The sequence below is a fragment of the Homo sapiens genome, chromosome 3 (assembly GCF_000001405.40).
Source record: "Homo sapiens chromosome 3, GRCh38.p14 Primary Assembly".
Taxonomy (NCBI): domain Eukaryota; kingdom Metazoa; phylum Chordata; class Mammalia; order Primates; family Hominidae; genus Homo; species Homo sapiens.
The window spans coordinates 55,689,743-55,709,746 of record NC_000003.12 but is presented as its reverse complement, the minus strand read 5'-3'; the positions used below and the strand labels follow the sequence as shown (position 1 = coordinate 55,709,746).

General features: G+C 42.2%; 1 protein-coding gene across 20 annotated transcripts in view; it reads left to right on the top strand.

Moving 5' to 3' along the window:
- ERC2 (ELKS/RAB6-interacting/CAST family member 2) overlaps positions 1–20,004 on the top strand; it is a 960,157-nt gene that overhangs the window by 758,721 nt on the left and 181,432 nt on the right. For all 20 annotated transcript variants that reach the window (NR_132749.2, XM_017006156.2, XM_047447950.1 and 17 more), the window contains one exon: positions 10,235–10,369. Coding sequence is in view for 19 of the 20 variants with exons in the window: in XM_017006156.2 (XP_016861645.1) it covers positions 10,235–10,369 (135 nt within the window). In the remaining variant the exon portion in view is untranslated. The remainder of the gene's footprint in view (positions 1–10,234; positions 10,370–20,004) is intronic.

The following is a 20,004-nucleotide window of genomic DNA, read 5'->3' as shown; positions in this document are numbered from 1 at the left end:
TTCTCTCCCCCTTTGGGGGGTCATTTGTTTTGTTTTGAAGGAGGTGAGGTGCTGGGAGGTTTATGCCCTTCCATTCTGCTTTAGAACTGGGAGCAGGCCCAGATTGCATTTGCTTCCACTTCTGCGCGAAGGTCAAAGCCCTTGAAGGAGAGCGTCCTTCCGTCCTCCCACAGTTCTCAGGACATGTTCATTCTCTCTGGGCTGACCTGAGTTTCTAGTCTCCTCTGCTTGCCCAGTCCGTTCTCCTTTGCTTTACCCTTCCCTTCTGATGGTGGTGTCTCAAGCTTCAGACATTTTGAGGATTACCTTCACAGTGTTTTCCACATCCTAAGACATAATTTCTATGAAACCTCTCTTTGATGTGCTTGTTATAATTTATTTTAATATATTTTAGAGTAAATATGTAACTGTTGAGCAGTTCATTTACTCCCTGTGAATTATCTTGCCTCCAAGGGTATGTGAACCCCTCTCTTCATAGCCCTGTTTAAGACTCTCACGGCCTCTTTCGGAGGGCGCTGCTGGCTTTTACTCAACCTCACATTCTCCTAGAATCTCACATGCTCCTAGAGTTCTACTAGAATGTTCACGCTCCAGTTTCTAGCCTATTGGCCAATTCTGTTAGGCGATACCCCGAGGCTGTTTTGCCCATTCATTAGTTAGGGAGCTGTTTTGATGATGCCAGTTCTCCCTAAACCAGTGATAATAAATATTTGTTGGATTATGAATGGAATGAAAATGTTGTCTTCACTTGTCAGCACAATTCTAGAGTCCGAATCTCAATACCTGCAAACACTGTCTTTCCTCTCTCCTTCCTTTCTTTTTCTCTCTTCTCTTGTCTTCTCTTCCCTCTCTTCTCCTTACCTCTCCTCTTCTCTCTCTCTCTCCTCTTTCTCTTCCCTCCCTCACTCTCTCCCTCCTTTCTTCCTTCCTTTATTTATTCCCAGTCTCCTTCATTCTCTCCCACCTTTCTTCTTCCACTCCTCCATTTATTTATTTATTTATTTATTTTTGTCTTTTTACCTTTGGGTTAAAAAATTAGGATTTTATTTGGAGTTCACTTTCTAAAGAAACTCCTAACAGACCATGCACAGAATGTTTCCACACTGTAGTAGAAGAGTCTGGAGTTTTTTTCAGAGACCCTCTATTGACTTTCTGAGTTGAAACAGTTTAGACTCCACATAAAATATGTGTTGTTTACCCAGGCTCTTCATGCTCTGCATACTGTTACAGTCCTTGAAGAGCTTGTCAGTGACAAGTAAGATAAATGAATGAAGAGGACTTTACAAGTGTTTAAAAGCTAAGTATAGCATGTGCTGCCCACGACTTAATTAAACAGACCTGCGCTTAACTAAGTAACTTTGTGGTGGAAACATCTAGGGCCTTTCCCTTCCCCCAGACTCTGCCACTAGCAATGGTGCTCAGGATGTTAGAAATTCCTTGGTTGTCTGGAGTTGCTAATGTGTTAGCCTAGCTGTTAGCTGTCTCATTGGTTGAAGCATTAAACGCTAGTGTGGACTGTGCATAATGACTTTTGAATTTATATTAGGGGATGGTCAGTAACATGGACTTCTTTGGGGCTCCATTAAGATTTTCTAATGTGTCTGAGTTCCATCGTTTTCAGAGGGAATTTTAAAATCAAAAGTGAGCTGCTTTTCTTTAAAGCTATGATTGGAGTGGGTGATCAGAGCCCATTCCCAGGTCAGTCTTGATTTGTTTATGAAGGGGCTGGTCCTTAAGGATCTGAGCAGTGGGATGCACTGGTTACAAAGGAGGCTGCACAGTCAGAGCCTCAGATCTACCAGTTATTTGAGCTCTGATTAGTTGCTTAATCCCTAAGCCTCATCTTCTTCATCTGTAAAGTGGGAGTAATAAGAAGCTTCAACCAAGGCAAATATTCAGGGCATGTGCAACTGTGTCACTCTTGGTTCTCATGGGTTTCTGCATCTGTCATAGCAGCTATTAAAGATTTTAAATACAATCCCCACCCCTGCCTGCATCGCAGGGTTGATGTCAGACTGACTTAATGAGATGATGCCAACACAGTGTTGTTCACACAGCAAGGGCCAAGCAGGCATTGGTTATTATTTTTTATGTTAACAGGAGGCTCCATCTCACAATGTCGGTTAGGATCCTAACATTATGAGCAGAGCACATAGAACTCTTTCTTTATAAATAATCCTTCCTCATGGGCTGTACTGGCTGACAGTAGAACAGGGGAGATGCTGCTTCTGGCTACAGTCACTGTCCATAACCCTTCAGGGGATTCCCCAGGTTCCTAAGGTGGCAGCAGAAAGCAATGTTTTTTTTTGAGACAAGATCTCATTCTGTTGCCTAGGCTGGAGTGCATTGGCATGATCACAGCTTATTGCAGCCTCAACCTTCTGTGCTCAGGTGATCCTCCCACTTCAGCCTCCCAAGTAGCTGGGACTACAGGCATGCACCACCACACTTAGCTTATTTTTTGTATTTTGTTTTTGTAGACGTGGGGTTTCACTATGTTGCCCAAGCTGGTTTCTAACTCCCGAGCTCAAGCCACCCGGCTGCCTCTGCCTCCCAAAGTGCTGAGATTTCAGGCATGAGCCACTGCGCCTGGCCACAGAAAGCAACTTAGCAACATAATTTCCCTCCCCTGACTTTAGCAGGAAAAAAGAAAAGAAAAACTGCACAAAATATGCAATAGGAGCAGTAGATCAGCATCTGTCTGTCTATCTATGGTGTTTGGTTTATGCTGAAGACATTCTTCCCTCTCTTGCCCATTTTTTAGATATAGGAAATGAGACTCAAGGAATCCTGATTCAGTCTGAGTCTCAATATGAATGTTTGGCCGAAACTGAATTAGTGCTAGGCAGGTGTTACTTCCCTAAGGAAGGTGAGAGTTCTGTCACGCTAAGTGATGAGAACTCTCAAGAAGTATCCATGGAAAAGAGCCTAGGAGTCACAGGTGTGTTAGTCCTGTGCAAAAATTAAGTGCAGGCTTGTTAATTATTCAACTATGATTAGGGTTTTAGCTGAGATTCTTGCAAAAACAGACCCCAAGCTGGGTGAGGTAGCTCACGCCTGTAATTCCATTGCTTTGGGAGGCTGAGGTGGGTGGATCACCTGAGGTCAGGAGTTCAAGACCAGCCTGGCTGACATGGTGAAACCCTATCTCTACTAAAAATACAAAAAATAAAATAAAATAAAATAACTGGGAGTGGTGGAAGGCACCTGGAATCCCAGCTACTCTGGAGGCTGAGGTGGGGTAATCACTTGAACCCGGGAAGTAGAGGTTACAGTGAGCCGAGATTGCACCACTGCACTCCAGCCTGGGTGACAGGCAAGACTCTGTCTCAAAAAAACAAACAACAACAAAAACAAAAACAAAAAAAAACAGAAACAAACAAAACAGATCCCAAGACAAGCTTTTACTGCAGGTAGTTTATTTGAGAAGTGATCTCCAGAAACATGGTGAGAGAATGGGGCAGTGATACAGGGAAGGGAAAAGGCCAACAAAGGGTGCATCAATGGGCAGTTTTCTGCTATAGTCAAACAGGGCTCCCACTGCTGAGGACCTAGTGAAAGATTCTGGAGCACACTGTAGGGTTGTCCACTGAGGGGCCAGGATGCTGGCTATTTATGTACCATCTCCTTCCCTCACAGATTTAGAGTTGTTTCAGGGGCGTGAGCTCCCTAACACTTCCCATCTGCCCCATTCCCTGGCCAAGTGTGCACCTGTGGCCAAAGCAAGACCTCAAGCCGAGGAAGATGCACGGGCTCCTGGTGGGAAGACAGCAGCACATCCAGGACTGTCCATCCAAGCTGCAGACAAGATCTGGTGTGGAACAAGAGAATATAGGAGGGACCCTGACATTCTCTGCAACAATTAAAAATAAAATAAAATAAAATAAAAGTGCTTAATGAGTAGGTATAAAAACACCAGCCAAACCTTCATGATGATCTACTAAATTTCTGTCTGTAAATAGGGACCGAGAGAGAGAGCCACCTTTAACAAAGTTGGGAGGGAGAGTCCGACCAGTGTTCTGTTCTGCTATAGAGGAGGGGCAGGAAGGATGGATCAGCTGAATGAATTTGGGGAGATCAGACCAGTGCTCAGGGAAGGACTGATGCTATAGCAGTGGATTGTGTAGATATCTGTAAACACACAGATGCCAAGAGCCTGGCCCATTTTCCCAGAGATGTTACAGTGTGACATGGGTGAGTATATGGCTGTGGCTCTGTCTTAAATTCCTTCCAAATGCCACAGGTTGATGTTATTTTGAAAAATAAGGTGGTGAATTTTCATCTCACATACATTTCCTGCTCTTTCCACATCCAGTAAAGGAATGAAGGAAGCCCGCACACATACACACACTTGCATATCTCACATTTGGTGTTCTAGTTCCCCTCATTGACCTGCTTTCCTCTCAAGGTGATTGGAGGGCCACTTTACTGTGCGATCTCCCCAGTGTACTCTCCTTATACCTATAGCCAAGCCAACTTTCAAATCTTAACTCAAGGGGCGTTTGACCCATGGAGCCTTATTTGATGCCTCTGCCCTCAGCTGGAGGGGATCTGTTGCCTCTGAACATCCATTTAAACCATACCCTTCTCTCCTCCTCCTCTTCTTATACGGTTTTATAGTCAGGCTTCTATTTCCTCATGTCCTATTCATCTTTGCCTCACCCCTGCACCTGGAGTGGACCTTACCCTTCATGACACTGCTGTAGGACTCTGGAGTCAGACATCTGGGTTTGAGTTCTGTTCTTCTACTCACTAGCTGAATAGTTATGGGCTTAGTTTCCTCATCTGTAAAAGAGGGCCCCAAGAATAGCCATCTCAGGAGTGAGGATTCAGCAGGAGAATGCTGGCCAAACACTTAGCCTGGCACATAATTATTCTTGGCATCATTGCAGTTGCAGATGTTCAGTAAGTGTTGAGTGAATTTCAGTGCAGTGTCCACAGTAGAAGCCTTTACATCATTTATTCTTACATACTCCCAGAAAGTTCCCCAATGCGGCACATTCCTTTAATAGCTTCTGCATCCTCTGACTTCATTTTGTCCTCCAACTGTGACCTGAGTGCTGCAACTTAGATTCTACTCAATTATGATTCATTGCTATGTGAGTCTAGTGGATGGTCAGGAAATCTCTCCTCTCCTAGCCATCCCATTCTTGTCTGGTTTGCTCATCTTTTACTTGGAGACAAGAGCTGTTCACCTTGCTCTGATTAGGTGGAAACAAGACAGTAGAAGAGTTCCTGAACGTTTGGGATTTCCCTAGTGGGAAAAAGGGACAGAAAAGAAAGCCTGATAGAATAAAACAGTAATTGCTATTGTACAGTATTATCTCCATATCCCATAGCAACAGATCTTATTATATTTTTTTCTATTTAAACCGTATTCATGAAGGTTTTATCGTTAACTTGATCCAGATGACTGATCAAAGCAAAGTTTGTTATTGCCACCTTACTAAAATATTTTTAAAAGCAGTTTTAATTCAATGTGTTTATCACTCCATATTGCCATTAGGCTATTGAGTCTATTACTAGTCGATCAAGGATTTTCATTTTGTTTCAAGAGCTCCTTGGATAAACTCTTCAGAAATGTCAAAAGAGTTGGAGTATCTGGCACCTTTTCACAGATGGTGCTCATCAGATATTTTAGTTAATGGATAAAGTTTCAGTTTTCCATGTTTGACTTTTGGCACTAACAGAGGTTTTCTAAAGGCTCCTGCTCCCCCAAACGCTAGGGGATAGTAAGAAATGAAACTAATAACACCCCAACACCCCTTATTCTTAGTGAGGTAAGTAATCAGGGAGGTGGTAGAGTATTGCACTGGGTCCAATTAGCTAAGGAATGGCATATTTCTTGAAGAAGACCAATTCGACTTGCCTAACAGCTCCAAAGCTATGCACATACTCTTCCTTCGCCACTCCCAAGAATTACAACAAACAAAAACAAATAAACAGGAAAAGTTAAACTGCCACATCAAAAGTTAAATACTCAACTGGCTCATCCTAGACTCCCATCTTCCCTCTTATGTGTTCCACAGTAGCCTGTGTGCCCTCTCCATCCATCCATTTTTACACTCATATACTTTGACACACTTTTACTTACAGCTAAGACATGAGACTCTGCACTAGATGGAGAGTGCAAGGGCAATCCACACATAGTATTTCCCTCAAGAGATTTTCAACCTAGTGGTGGAGAAAGCCAAGTGAACCTGCAGTTAGTTACCATTGGTTCAGATAAGTTCTGTGATGGCAGAGACCCAGGGGGGTGGCTACAGGATTCTGCTGAAAGCAGTGGAAGAGGCGGGCTTAGGAAAGTTGTCTCTGGAGATGATGGCATTGAAGCTAAGACCAGAGAACTAATGGATATAACTCAGGTTTAAGGGGTAGAGCATGAAGAGCAGGACCGAGAGAGAGAACAGCATGTCCCAAGGCTGGGACAAGGAGACTGGGAGGTGTAACTCTGGAAGTAACTAGCAGTCACCTAGCAAGAGATGCCTAAGCATGTCAAAGACCCAGGCTGTTTTCCTGAGTGTGGCGGGAGCCTCCCAAGAACTTGAATCCAGGGAGGAACAGAAATCTGATGTCACTCTGGCTATGGAATGTGTTCAATGGGAGGTGAGAGTGCAGCAGGAGAGCTGTTAGGAGGCGATGGCCCCAGAGAAATAAGGTGGCGCCTTGAAGAAAGAGGAAGTAGAAAATGAAATCTGATTAGATTTGTCTCCACAGTCATGACGTAATATAGTAAAAAGAGTATAACACAGTTAGCCAAAGGCAAAGGTGTCTGGTCAGCAGTTTGGTAGACACCGCAAAGGAAATAAAAATGGGCCTCAGTGAATCGCTAAATGAGTCCCTGAGTTCCTAAGTGCTATGCTGTGGAAAGCAATCCCTCTCCAACTCTATATTAGTTTTCCTGGGTGTTTAGTTTTGCCTGCCCAGAAGATTTGCTGCTTCAGGCTTTTCAGCGGGCACCTCAAGCATCTGAGGCTACAGGGCTGTGGACCATTATGTATGGGATCACCTGGTAAGTTGGCCTAGAGTTATTTGAACAAACAGTATCCCTGTCCAATCCTTGTTACAAATTTCTGTAGTTTTTCTTTCATTGACTGTTAGGGAGTGTTATTTGTGACTTCCTGTCCTTCCAGACCCTTGTCTATGTGTAAACCGGTATAATTGGGTGGGGATGAAGCTAGATAGTGCAGACTTAAAAAAAAAAAATTTAAAAGAGATCCATTTTAAATTTGACAATTAAAGGATCAAGATTGGTCAAACTGTTTTTATAGGAGAGAACACCAGCAACTAGCCGGTAAGAAATCGGTCACAGTTTAGGGGATATGTTACAAGCAAGATAAATAAAAACGGTCTAGAGTATCAGACCAAACTCTCATTTTTCATCTCTGTTTCACACTCTTCTCTTCCAGCCCAGACTAATCAAAAGAAGCCTCTTCCGCTCACAATTGCTCTGTGTACATTTCCCCCAGATCTGGTATTCACATGAACAACGTGGTTTATTTATATTTCAGCACCAAATTGGAAAGATGACATCATTCATTTACAGTCTTTATCCCATGACATGCCTACTCTCCAACACCTCATTTTAGCAGACACATTTAGGACTGCATATAGCATCTTGTTTAGCTTGTACATTCTTTTATGGGATACAGTTCAAAGGTAGGGAACTTTAGGCTTGTTGCTGGTAAGAAAATAATCTCATAAAATCACAGGAGCTTCCCCAAAGGATGAGGATATTACGATGTTTACAATAGCAGAATTATTATTTGTTCATTTAGGCTCCATCCTTCATTCTTGAGCGAGTCCCTTCCTTCTTGCCCACAGCAGATCTTACAGCTCCCCTCAGGCTCTCAGAATTCTATTTAGAAGAAACAATTCCAGATTTATTAGTTCATGAGTTCAAAAGTACAGGATCCTGACAATACTGGAATTTTAGGTGTAAACGCCAAATTTCAGAATCTCATGTGCAATGGCAGGCTGGCTGAGGGGAATCTCAGTACTTAGTCTGCAGCAGCTCCACTGACCTGCTCTTTCTCACAAGGCATAACTTGCCCATTGGGTCTTCTGACACTTTAAGTGGACAAGTGAAGGATGGAAATGCTCTCAGCTGCCAGAGGTTGCCTGGGATTTTTTATTTAATTTTAAGTGGCTCTTTCCCTCTATTTTTATTGTTTTTATTCATATAGACAGTTTTTTTTTAACATTCACTTTGGGGCCTTTCAAATATTGTACACATTTTTAAAAATGGAGTGAGTAAATCATAAGACATCCTCTGGCAGATAGAATTGGGATGTGAGGTGTTTCCAAAACTTAACAGAATCAAAGCATTTTATGGGAAAGTTCTTTCTACCTGTTTAGCTGTTTGCCTTTTCTGCTAGCAGCAAGACAAGGAAAAAAGCCTAGAGATTGAGAATTGGATGACCCAGAAAATCTCCATGTTCTATGTCAAGAAAGAGACTCTTGGGGCTGAAATCTACACCTTACTTTTCTAGCTGCCAAATGAGGATAGTAATAATTGCTCCTGGGAAAGTATTGAGAATAAGTTAGATTGTATGTGAAAAATACTATTAAGAATGCACAATGTTAGGTCCAGACTTTTCTTTATTGTCAGTGTATTATTTATATTACATAATAAAACTCCAACTGGTTGGAGGCTCTGCCAACCACTGACTTCTGGCTCTCTGAAAGTATTGTTGGTTCATTGTCATCTTGAGCCACCAGTGGGATTGTTATGGCAACTCATGAAATGTCCTCAACTCTCCGTGACCTTCCCTGCTGAAAACAAACATGTAGCTTGTCTCTAGGATGGCAGCATCCCTCAAAATCATGGCCCCTTCATTCTTTTGGTCACTCATTACAGCAGCATGTATTATATATCTACATCTGCTAGGCCCTATGCGAGATTCTAGGGAGAGGCAGATGAAAGAAATAGCTTCAAGGTCTACAGACATACGGACGGATAAATCTGTGGTTATAGAGCCATGGTATGCAGGAGGCACGTGTCACCCAGCCTCCAGGACAGGGTGAGGAAAAGGCTCCTAGATTAAATAGTTTGAGTTAGCCAGACATAGAAGTTAAAGGTGAAGAAAGGGGGCTAGGGAGGCATTGCAAGCAAAGGAAGCAGCACATACAAAGGAGGAAAAATGTCTTACAGCAAACAACAACAGCAGTAACTATAGTAATGACAGCATTTGACTTTCATTGCCAGTTACTGGACTGACACTTGAAGTCCATCGTATCATTCGCTCCTAGCGGCAACCCCGAGGAAAGAGGCACTATTCCTCTCATTTTAGAGTTGAGGAAATTAAGGTTTATAAATAGTTTACTCTCTTAGGTTCACATAACCAGCAAAGAGGTGGAGCCAGGACTTGAATCCAGGCAGGTCTGTCCTCAAACCCTCATTTCCTGACTTTCTGAGCTGGATAATTTTGTCTGCTTTTTTCCCGTGGTCTTTAGGCATTTTTCTAGATTCTGAGAGCCTGTCAGGCCAACTCATCACTGGTCCATTTCTTGCCCTGCATAATAAAGCAGTACACTTCTATTGCATTGGGGGTTTAACCATGACTCCAAGTTGCCTCATGTGACAGGCATCGTGGATTGTAAATTAGAGTGGTCAGTTCTTTTCCCATTGACTTTGTACCTTTTGCTCAGTTCCCTTAAGGAACAAAATCGGTTAAAATGTCCGTAGAGAGCCATTTCCCAAGAAGTCATCATAGCAGTAAACCATCTCCATCAGTATTTTTGCATTTGGCAGCGTTCAAGTGGATTTTTCTGCCTTGTCTTGTGAGACCATTGTTTATCTGTAGTTCTGTGTTTCTACCCAGCCCTTCCCATCTTTCCATACAGGACTTCCATCTCCAGCTTGCTCTAGAGTGTTGGTCTAGAGTCTCAGTCATAATTGTTGCAATTGCAAGCTCACCTTGGATCTCTGTGATTGCTTGATAATGTAAAGCAAAGCACCTTAGAGTATGTCCATTTTTTCCCTTTTAAATCACAAGAAGGAAGTACATTAACATTTACAGATGTAACATAATAGCTTTAAGGATGTGACAGAGCTTTTTTCACCAAAGTTAATGTCATGGTGCTTTCTTTATTAAGTTTCAACTTGACTAACAGTGAAAATTCCTGAATTAGGAACAAAGGGATCCCTATAGGTACTGTAATTATGCCCTGAATCTCTTTGACTGATCTTCTGGCTCCTGATGGAATCTTCCTTGGTTTTTGTTCTGCACAGACCCAGAACAGAATGAAGTTGATGGCAGACAACTATGATGATGACCATCACCATTACCACCACCACCACCATCACCACCACCATCGATCTCCTGGGAGGTCGCAACATTCCAATCACAGGCCCTCTCCGGACCAGGTCAGTTTCATCGCTGCTTACCTCCAAGACCCCTTTTACCCTTTAGATATTTTAAGATAAAATAAATAATCCTCAAGAAATAATAAACATCATAAAGTGATACGTTCTTTGAACTGAAACTAATAGCTTTGGTATTTATTTCCATCAGTCAAGGAATCTAAATGTTTTTCTTTCTCCTTCCTCTTTAAGGTTTTGTCTTTTCTTGTTTATGTTATGCATTTTCTTTCCTCCCCTCCTTTCTTCTTTCATAGATATGTAGTCTATTGCTGGCTCGGTATCTCATGGCGGGTTACTTTGGAATGTCTCTTTCAGAGTTTTAAGAGAAAGCACTTTGTTTCCATGAGCTTGGCAACCAGAGAAGCCTTGAGTTCGCTGAGCACTTTCCTAGAAAATTCTTTAGTGATGCAAATTAATGGTGAGGTAAAACAACAAGGAGAGAAATCCGTTTTGCCTGCGTTTTAGCCAGTGAAGTCAAGGAGTCTGGTTTATTTGATTTGGACCCTATCTCCTCCCTTGACTAAGTAACGCATGTGAAAAGATGGATTGACAAAAACAAAAACCGCCTGTGGTTTTACAGCAATATTTACATTCACCCACCAAATGCAAAAACTATTTACAATGTTTAGTATTAAAACTCTTGAAGGTGAATTTTATGGAAATTAGGAAATTAAATGCAAACTAGCAGGATAATATAGTCAATATGAGCAATATTTCTTACTTTGTTGTACTAAGATTCCTGCCTCCCCCTGCCCCCGTTTTTGGTGATCCTAGTGTAACTGATACATTTCCATAGATGGGAGCAATAGGTAACAAAATAGAACCATCTGGATAAGTATGCACTCCTTTGGATATGGCAGGGTGAGGGGTTGTCAGAATTACCTGTGTGAAGAGGCAGTTTAATTGTTTGCTGGGGGAGGAGGTACTTGTGATGCTCCGAAAACTTTTCACGTGGCTCTGTTTCCTTTTCACCTCCTGTTGCTAGCATCCCAAAGAGGTTAAGATTTGAAGTTTCCAAGATGTTTTACCTGGAGTACAAGTCCTGGGGGAGCTGTTTATATAGAACACAGCATTAGAAGTTCTCCTGGGAGCTGTGCAGTGAGGCAGCCAGCACCAGGAGGCTCCCCAGCCCCTGAGCTTGACCTGACCTTTGTACCTGGAAGCTTTTGCCCTCCGAGACCCCAACATTGCTGAAGGTGTTCACACAGAAAAAAATCTAGATTTCCGAAGCCAAGTACAGACAGGGCATGATTTCATGTTTTAGCTCCCAAAATATTGCTCTTGATTTGGAGATCTGAAATGTGGAGAGAGGTGTCAATTTCATGTCATTATCTTGTATGTCTGTGTTTTGGTTTTATTTATTCAATTACCACCCTTCACCATCACCACCACCACCACTACCACCTCCCCACCTCTGCCTGCTCCAGTAGACCTGGCATCCTGCTAACTAAACCAACTCGTTCTCATTCCTGGTCCCTGCCTTTTTCTCCTTGGCATTCTCCCAGATAGGGTGAGTATGAGGTTTTATTGGTGGGAGCCTGCAGTCCCCACTTTGGCCATTCATTCTGAGCCACACATGCTAGAAGACCATCCTGAGTTCCCCCACTCAAACCCCAACAGAGAGACAAAAACAGAGAGTACCATAAGAGTAGAAAGAAGGATTTGGAGCCAAGTCAGGGGAGTAGGTCATCCAGGGACCTGCTGAGATAACAAACCAGCTTGTCTCATCACAGAGACACATATGCTCATATGTTCTACTGGGAATGAGGCACTAGAGCACATCTATCTGCTTTGTGAATGGTATTTCTTACAAAAGCTAGGCTCCTGCTACTTTTCCAGAGAGGTGTAATCACAAACTAGGGTGTCTTGTCCACTTGACTGACTCTTATGTTTGTCCACTGACACTAGAGTTTGTCATAGGGTGGTGTCCTTCCCAGAAGAGTTAGCATTCCTTGAAGAGTGTCTGGCTAAGCCACGTTGTTGAGACCTTTGGCACATGTTTCTCACTGCTACTGTTAGGAAGATGGTGATGGTCTTTCACTTTCACATCCACCATCTCAGTGAACACTCTAAGCAACCCATGGACATAGAGGCAGTTAACCTCATCGCCTTCTCCAGATGAGAAATCTGGAGCCCGGGAAGTGGGTGAATAGGCTGGAATCCTGTTCCGAGTTCCTAACCTAATTCCATGGCAGCCACTATGTGGCACTTGGGGAAGAGCATGATGGACAGAACCCCTGTCTTCAAGGCATTTGCTGTCTAGCCCTAGAATAAGAATCCAGGTTGTCTGATGTCTTGTTCAATTCTTTTCTGGTTCATGTCAATCAGAACAAGGCAGATAAAAGGTAGCTCCAACTTAATTAGGGGCCCATACCTTAGAAACTTATTCTGCAGTGGGGGTCACTGTGAAAGTAAAATACCCTTGACCACAAGGATATTTTTGTGGTTTTAAATTGAAGTCATCAAGTCAGTAAGGCTCCTTTGCTAGACTTTTTTAATTAGAGAAGGAGAGATTAAGCAAGGAACCCTAGTGTGAGAGTAGGTTGGCACCAGTGCTGGAGATGGCTATATCTCCTGAGCTGGATGCCCCTTTTGACTGGGCATCCCAGGTCTAGTGGAATGATACCTTGTCCTATACTGGAGATTTGAGATTTGGTAACCAATAACTAATATATCAGTATATGTACTGTTATAAATCTAAGTCCCAGAATAAAGTCGTTATCAATGGATAATAGTTATCAATAGTTATCTTTCCCAATTGATTACAAACCCTACACTTAATTGTGTAGACCACATACACTAATAGATACAGGGTACATATGAGTATATGTTTCTTCTTAGGAGAAAAATGACAGCCATATGAAAGCATGAGAGTCCTAATAATGGGGTGATGTGGATGAGATTTTAACTAAATGTTCATAATGTACATAATGTTAGCTGACCTGACTTAAAGGGGAAAGGTCTCTTTCAGGGATTCCTGATTCCCTTTCTGTGAATCTTCCAGCCCTGGCCTTCCTGTGGCCTTAAAGGCTTGACCAACAATGACTTATGGAAGAAGGGCTACAAAATGTTGATATTGCCTCTTGAACTTTATTAAGAGATCAGAACACATGAAAATGGAGAAATATGAAAAATCATTTGCCTTGTTACTTTTCCAGAAAAACTCGTTTTACCTTAGGTAATTCAATTACGTGAGTATTGCCAGGTACTTACAGAATTATATTCTTTTTCCATTTCTTCCATGTTTCTTTCTCCTTCACTATGATTTTTCTTGCTCCTTAAGAGAAACTGAATCCAAGTATTATAAGTCTAGACTAGCATTTCCCAAAGTAACTTTTAGAACATTAGTCCCATGAGGAAAGCCTTGAAACAAAGATTCTCTGGGCAAAGTATTTTGTGAAAGTGCTCCATATTACAACTCTATCTTCGAGCGTCCTGGGGCAATTAGTAGATCAAAGGATCTAAAAAGTCATATAAGAAAGAAAGCTCCCCAATTTAATTTAATCCAGTATTTCCCAGACTTATTTGATTGTAGATTTCTTTTTTCTTTCAAGTAACATCTGTGCTGTAAGAAATATTGTTCTCAGAGTATCAGGTGAAAAAAGAGACTACCCATTTTATAACATGACTGATCCAGTTTCCAGCAGTATTTTTTATCAGAAGGTGGGATTTTCCGGCAGCTTCTTGCTTTGCACAACCGAAAATGGAAGTGCCTCTTCCATTCATTTCCTGGGATACCTTCTTAAAGGCAATAATATCTGAGAAAGAGTGATCCCACCAATAACCCAGTAGATCTAAACTAAGGGAGTCATTAAGGTTGAGGACCCAGGATATCAAGAATAGTCATAAATACACAGCCCTTGAGGGATTACTGAGGGGGTGGGAAGATTTGGAGAAGATGTAAGAGAAGTCAGTGCAGTGTGGCAGCTCAAGAATCTAGCCCCCTACCTGAGAGAGAAGCTTTTAATAGCTGGTGGGCTGTGACCCCCAGGATGGTCACAGCCATTGAATATGTCCAAGTAGAATATCTAGACAAATCCCAGTAATGACTTGGGAAATCCTTCAAAGCAAGAAGTGGCCATGGGGGCAGACAACAAATATTTCCCATGACACAAGCTGCTGGTGTGTTTTGAGAAACAATAAAGTCCAAAGAGTAAATGAAACATGCTGGAGACACATTAGAGATTTTTCTTAGGTTACCAAGATTGATTTCACAAAGCCAAGTAGAAATTCAGCTTTTCCTAAATGTTCTCTGTATCTGTTGTCATCAGTCTCATCTGTCATTTTCTTTAAATAGCATCTCCTTCTCTGCCTTAAAACATATCAGTGATACCAAGTCTTTCTACTTTCCTTTTTCTAGGCATCATACAAGTTTTACTGTCCCAGTAAAAGTCATATTTTATTAAGCTCATTCCATTGGCTCCCAGGTATAGACTAACCTGGTGAATAAGAAAAGCACAGCATCAGCATGAGGTCCACACCCCAGCCAACTTAAAATGCCAGGCACCATGCAGGCTACCCTTTGTGCATCTAGGACTCACATTTCTCTTCCCGGGTCTTGGGTTGGGTGTTAGGTCTTCAAGGACCCTGATCTCACTGCTTGTTTGTGCAAAATGTACTTCTATGTGTTAAAGCACTTGCCGCTCTGATTCTAGTTGGGAAGGGCCTAAATGGCAAAGAACCTAAATATTTTGGGGCTGGAAACCTCAGAATAGGTGGCCACTTTTGAAAGCCCAAGAGAAAACTCTTCTCTCCTCTTCCTCCTTCATTGAATGCAAATACTCGCTCATAGGTGTTGGAGAGCTCGAGGGATTTTGACCACCTTTGAGACTTTCTGATAGTATTTAAATTTTAAATTTCACATTTTACTTACAGAAAACCAACTTCTAAATGAGGGCTATGAGTTTAGGAGCATGGAGACATGATACTTATGTGATCAGTTACAGAAAAATTTGGTTGAATTTCACATTTTATATTCAGATTCTTTGTCCCATGTTCACACATGTCTGGCCCTTACGAGGTACTCTGTAAATGTCTGTTGAATGAACTGCTCCCATAGTAGCTTCGGGAAGTAGGAAGGGCAGATGGAAGTATCCCCATTGCATAAATAAAGAAACTCAGAGGTTGTTAATGATCCAGAGTCACAAAACTGAAAGTCAACAGGCCCCAGATGAAATCCTGAGTCTCTGAGTACTATACATTGGTGGCAAACCCCTTGGATACATCTATGCAACCACGTGTATTTATGATTGCACAACTATGATGGATCCACTTATTCTTGAGTGCAAATGTGCTTTTTCCCTTTCCCATGGAATTGTAGTAAATTTTATCCTATTTTGTTTATTTTCCAAAATTGAATTAAATGTCATCTTTGCCGGGCGCAGTGACTCACACCTGTAATCCCAACACATTGGGAGGCTGAGGCAGTCAGATCACCTGATGTCAGGAGTTCGAGACGAGCCTGGCCAATGTGCTGAAACCCCATCTCTACTAAAAATACAAAAATTAGCCGGGTGTGGTGGTGAGTGCCTGTAATCCCAGCTATTTGGGAGGCTGAGGCAGGAGAATCACTTGAACCTGGGAGGTGGAGGTGGCAGTGAGCTGAGATCGCGCCATTGCACTCCAGCCTGGGCAACAAGAGTGAAACTTCGTCTCAAAAAAAAAAAAGAAGAAAAAATATGTAGTCTCATCCATTCTCTTTCCATTTGCCCCAGCTTTCATTGTCTTTATTTCCATTCTTCTGTTTTGTGAGTTTATTCCTTCCATTTCCCCCCATTTTACCTGTTCCCTTTTACTCTTCTCTATTCCTGCTGTCCCTGTGCCAATTGCAAACTCTCCTGCTTCTATGGAATCACCAGAATGAGATCCTCAAGTAGTGGAGAGACTGGCCCGGGGAGGGAGGGGAACTGCTCTGGGTCACAGAGGGTTCTTGGCAGTGGATTGCCAAGACTCACATTCCCTTGCTCACTCTCCCCTGAGCCTCTGAACATGTAAGGATCTGGAGCAAACCATGCCCCCAGAGCAAAACAGAGGATGCTTTATTCTGCTAAGGGCTGCTGTCAGATCAGCCAGGGTGCTAGGGGTACTTTCAGAGAGTGACTTTTCTGTGGTAGAAGCTAGGTTTTCCCTATTGCATTCTGAACTTTAAGGTGTCTGTCCATTCTATGGATCTTGTCCTAGGAAATTGATTGCCCTAATCCTAAATATTATCCACTCTACTTGGTAATTTCCAGAATCTGTCTGTGGATATAAATAGTAATCCTTGGTGCTTTCTCTGCTGCTCCTGATGACTGTGTGGTCCCAGCATGTGTTGGCTCTCAGCCAAAGTGCGTGTTTGTACCATTGGACATATTTCAGAGCATTGAATGTTCACTTCCATTTTCTGCTGAAAATTCCCATAGAATTCTACTTGGGACACATGTTGTTTTGCCATAAGCCATCAAATTTCTTGGTTACTAAAGAACCCATGCCTAGATTTGGCCTTCTCTTCAAACTCTGGTCACAGAACTGATACACAGATTGTATTTTAAGATACAGTAAAATGATCCCAGTGACCTAATTTATAATGGTTGATAGGAATCTGCTTTTCCTTTCTGTGTTTGGATTCTGGATTCTTGCATATAGGCAGATGCTTACAGTACTGAACCTATACTCTGCTTCAGAGAGGCTGCAGCACTCACTGCCTTGGTTTTGAGATTTCTGGTCCCTAAATATGTCCCTTCTCCCCTCTTTCTACAGGCAAAAGAGCCATAAGGTAGAGTTGGCTCAGAAAAGAAAAGCAGGGCTTTTGCTCTCTCACCTCCTACCTCTGTCCATTCTGCATACACCTGAGCCTTGGGTACTGCTCTCAGGTAGAATTAGTCAGCATCCTATAAGAGCATTCCTTAAAGAGGGGAATTTCCAGCCATCCCTGCAATTATGTCCTCATCGATGTTGTGGCTGGAGGCAGGTGACAGCTCCAGGCCCATGTGTTTCCTGGCCCTAGTTCTTTTTTCATAAAACCCACCTGCTTTTGTCCTCCTTCTGCATTTTATGCTTAGTCCACAAGAAGTTGGTGGGGCCTCACAGTCCAACAGAAGAATGAAGCAGTCACAGCAGCCCCTCCTGGGGCACCAGCTTGAGGCCGTGGGATCCCGTACTCCCACTGAGCCCCTCTCTGTGAATGCAGGGCCAGCTTTTCTGATTGATGCTCTGCTTCCCTTGCACTTTCACCAACAGATTAGTCAATGTGCAGCCCTTTGAACTCTGACAGACAGGCAAGGGGTCCAACCTGCTCTGTTGCCCCCAGAAGATGAATTCTGTATATAGAGTTGTTATTCCTAGCTTTTGCTTAGGGAGGAATAAAAAGAATTTATTTTATGTTTTGAGGTTAAATGAATGTGGGATAAATGTATACATAGCATCCTGTGTGTATATATGTATGTATTGCTCTATGTCAGATGAACTGACGACTTTTCCACATATGGAAGAATTTCACAAGATCATGTTTAGCTAGAAACTTCTCTCCCTAACTTCCTCTGAGTGCATGTTTGAATATACGTTATATATACATATATATGTATGTGTGCACATAAATATATCTTCATGTTTCCTTCACTGAAGAAAAATTAACACCGTATATCAGGGCTTACTAAAGTATAGTTATGGAACATACAAAAAACCAGGAATCTTTAGTTCCCCATGATAGTAACCTGATAAGAAAAGTTACATGTTTTAGGCTTTTAATATCAGTTTCCAACCAAGCTAGTATGTCTAAAGCTTGCCCAGATAAGAGACAGTATATATATATATATATATATATATATATTTTTTTTTTTTTTTTTTTTTTTTTTTTTTGCATTGCAAATCTAATGTCATGGCCCACTTCTTGGAAGGAGCCTTGAGTTTTGTTTCACGTGGGGATGAAGCCTTCAGATTCAACAACCCATGAAGAAACCTCTTATTGGTGCTGATGTGTATTGCATGGGAGAAGGGTTCAGAAGTTTTGACCGTTGCCACTCCTGGGCCAGTCCTTTCAGAACTGTAGCCAAGGATATCCTGGCATGCATTTTGAAATAGCTCTTGAGAGCCACTTGCCTCTTTCCCAATACTTCTTTTCTCACAAGTAGATTGGAGGATACTGTGTTTAGCAGGTTAAGAAATAGAAAGATATCGCAGATGTCTCTTTTTTCTTTATCCCTCAGAGACTACTAAAAATCCCCAAAACTACTAGAAAGTGAGCCAGACGGCATATGTGATTTCCCACCCTTGGGAAATAAAAGGGGCAGTTTATTTGTTTGCTTGTTTTTAAGAGCAGAAGCTGTAGAGTAACCCTGCAGTGGCTCTCTGTGAGGCCACAGGTAAAGAAGGAAATGGGGACAAATGTCTGAACTGTTGTTGTGGGAGGTATTTAACTGCCTCCTTCCTCTACCAGCAGTTACATGCTCACCCAACCATTAAGAGCTACAGGAGAGGGAGGGAGGCGGAGTTACGCAGCAGTTGGGAAGCTGGCTTTGCAGATGAGCAGGTTATTGTCAAAGCCCTTTAATCTGGGTGCGATGCTAATTCCCTGCATGTGAGCACATGAGGGCATGATTAATAAGCCCTGCCAGGTAGGGTCTTCACTGAGTATGGGAAAAATGCAGAGCTGCTTAATGCATCAGGATCCTCCTGTTAGAAAAGGATTTTTCCTTAAAGGAGGTTTGAGCCTACTGAAGATTTCATTCAGTCTTATGCTATTTGGGGTAGAGTGTTTTTTTTTTCTTTTACTGATTTGTCTAGGTTTTACACCTTGTTTGCAGTATTAGGGTTACATTAAGAGATTTGTTGCAGTATCCTTTGAGTCAACAGGGGTTTTTCAGACATAGCCTGCACTCTCCAGCTTACAGATGCAACGCATCTTGGCAACATTGGAGGGTTGATTTCTTTTCAACTTGCTGCTTTAATCCAGTCGCATTTGTCTAAGAGGCAGCACTTTAGCTCCCCCATTGAGAGGGGGTGGCCAACCTTGAAATGTCGGGAAGCAGGGAAATCCATTTTATATTGCTAAACACCATTGCCTCTCTTTTTTTCTATAACTGATGTAATAGGGATCATGTTTGACTTACAACACTCCAGGCACTTGCAGCACTCCAAAGATAAGGGACCAGCAGAGGAAAGGGAGTAGGAAGCATCCTTTAAACATACCCTGCACACACTCACAAAGTCTGTTATTGCAGGAAACCACCTTACAGACCAATAGCATTTTAAAAATTCGGATTTGGGCATCCATCTATTAATGATCTTAATAATGTCAATTTTGAACAGCCCAGAGACTCTAAAATATTTAAGAATCATTTTGTACCCCATCAGATCCTTTTTAGACACACCATTTTGCCTTCAGCTTTAGTGTAATATCAAATAATTTGTTTTACTAGTAATCAACTCTTAATGCTACCAACAGGGATGATATGTCTAGTTATATTGGTCTAAGTCTGTAACATCCACAAAGTGGTTTAATTTACATTCTTGGGTTTAATTTGCACAGCAAACCTATGAAGCATCAGGGCCAGGATATGGTAGTCCCATTTTCTTTTCTTTTCTTTTTTTTTTCTTTTTTTTTTTTGAGACGGAGTCTCGCTCTTGTTGCCCAGGCTGGAGTGAGTGCAATGGCGCGATCT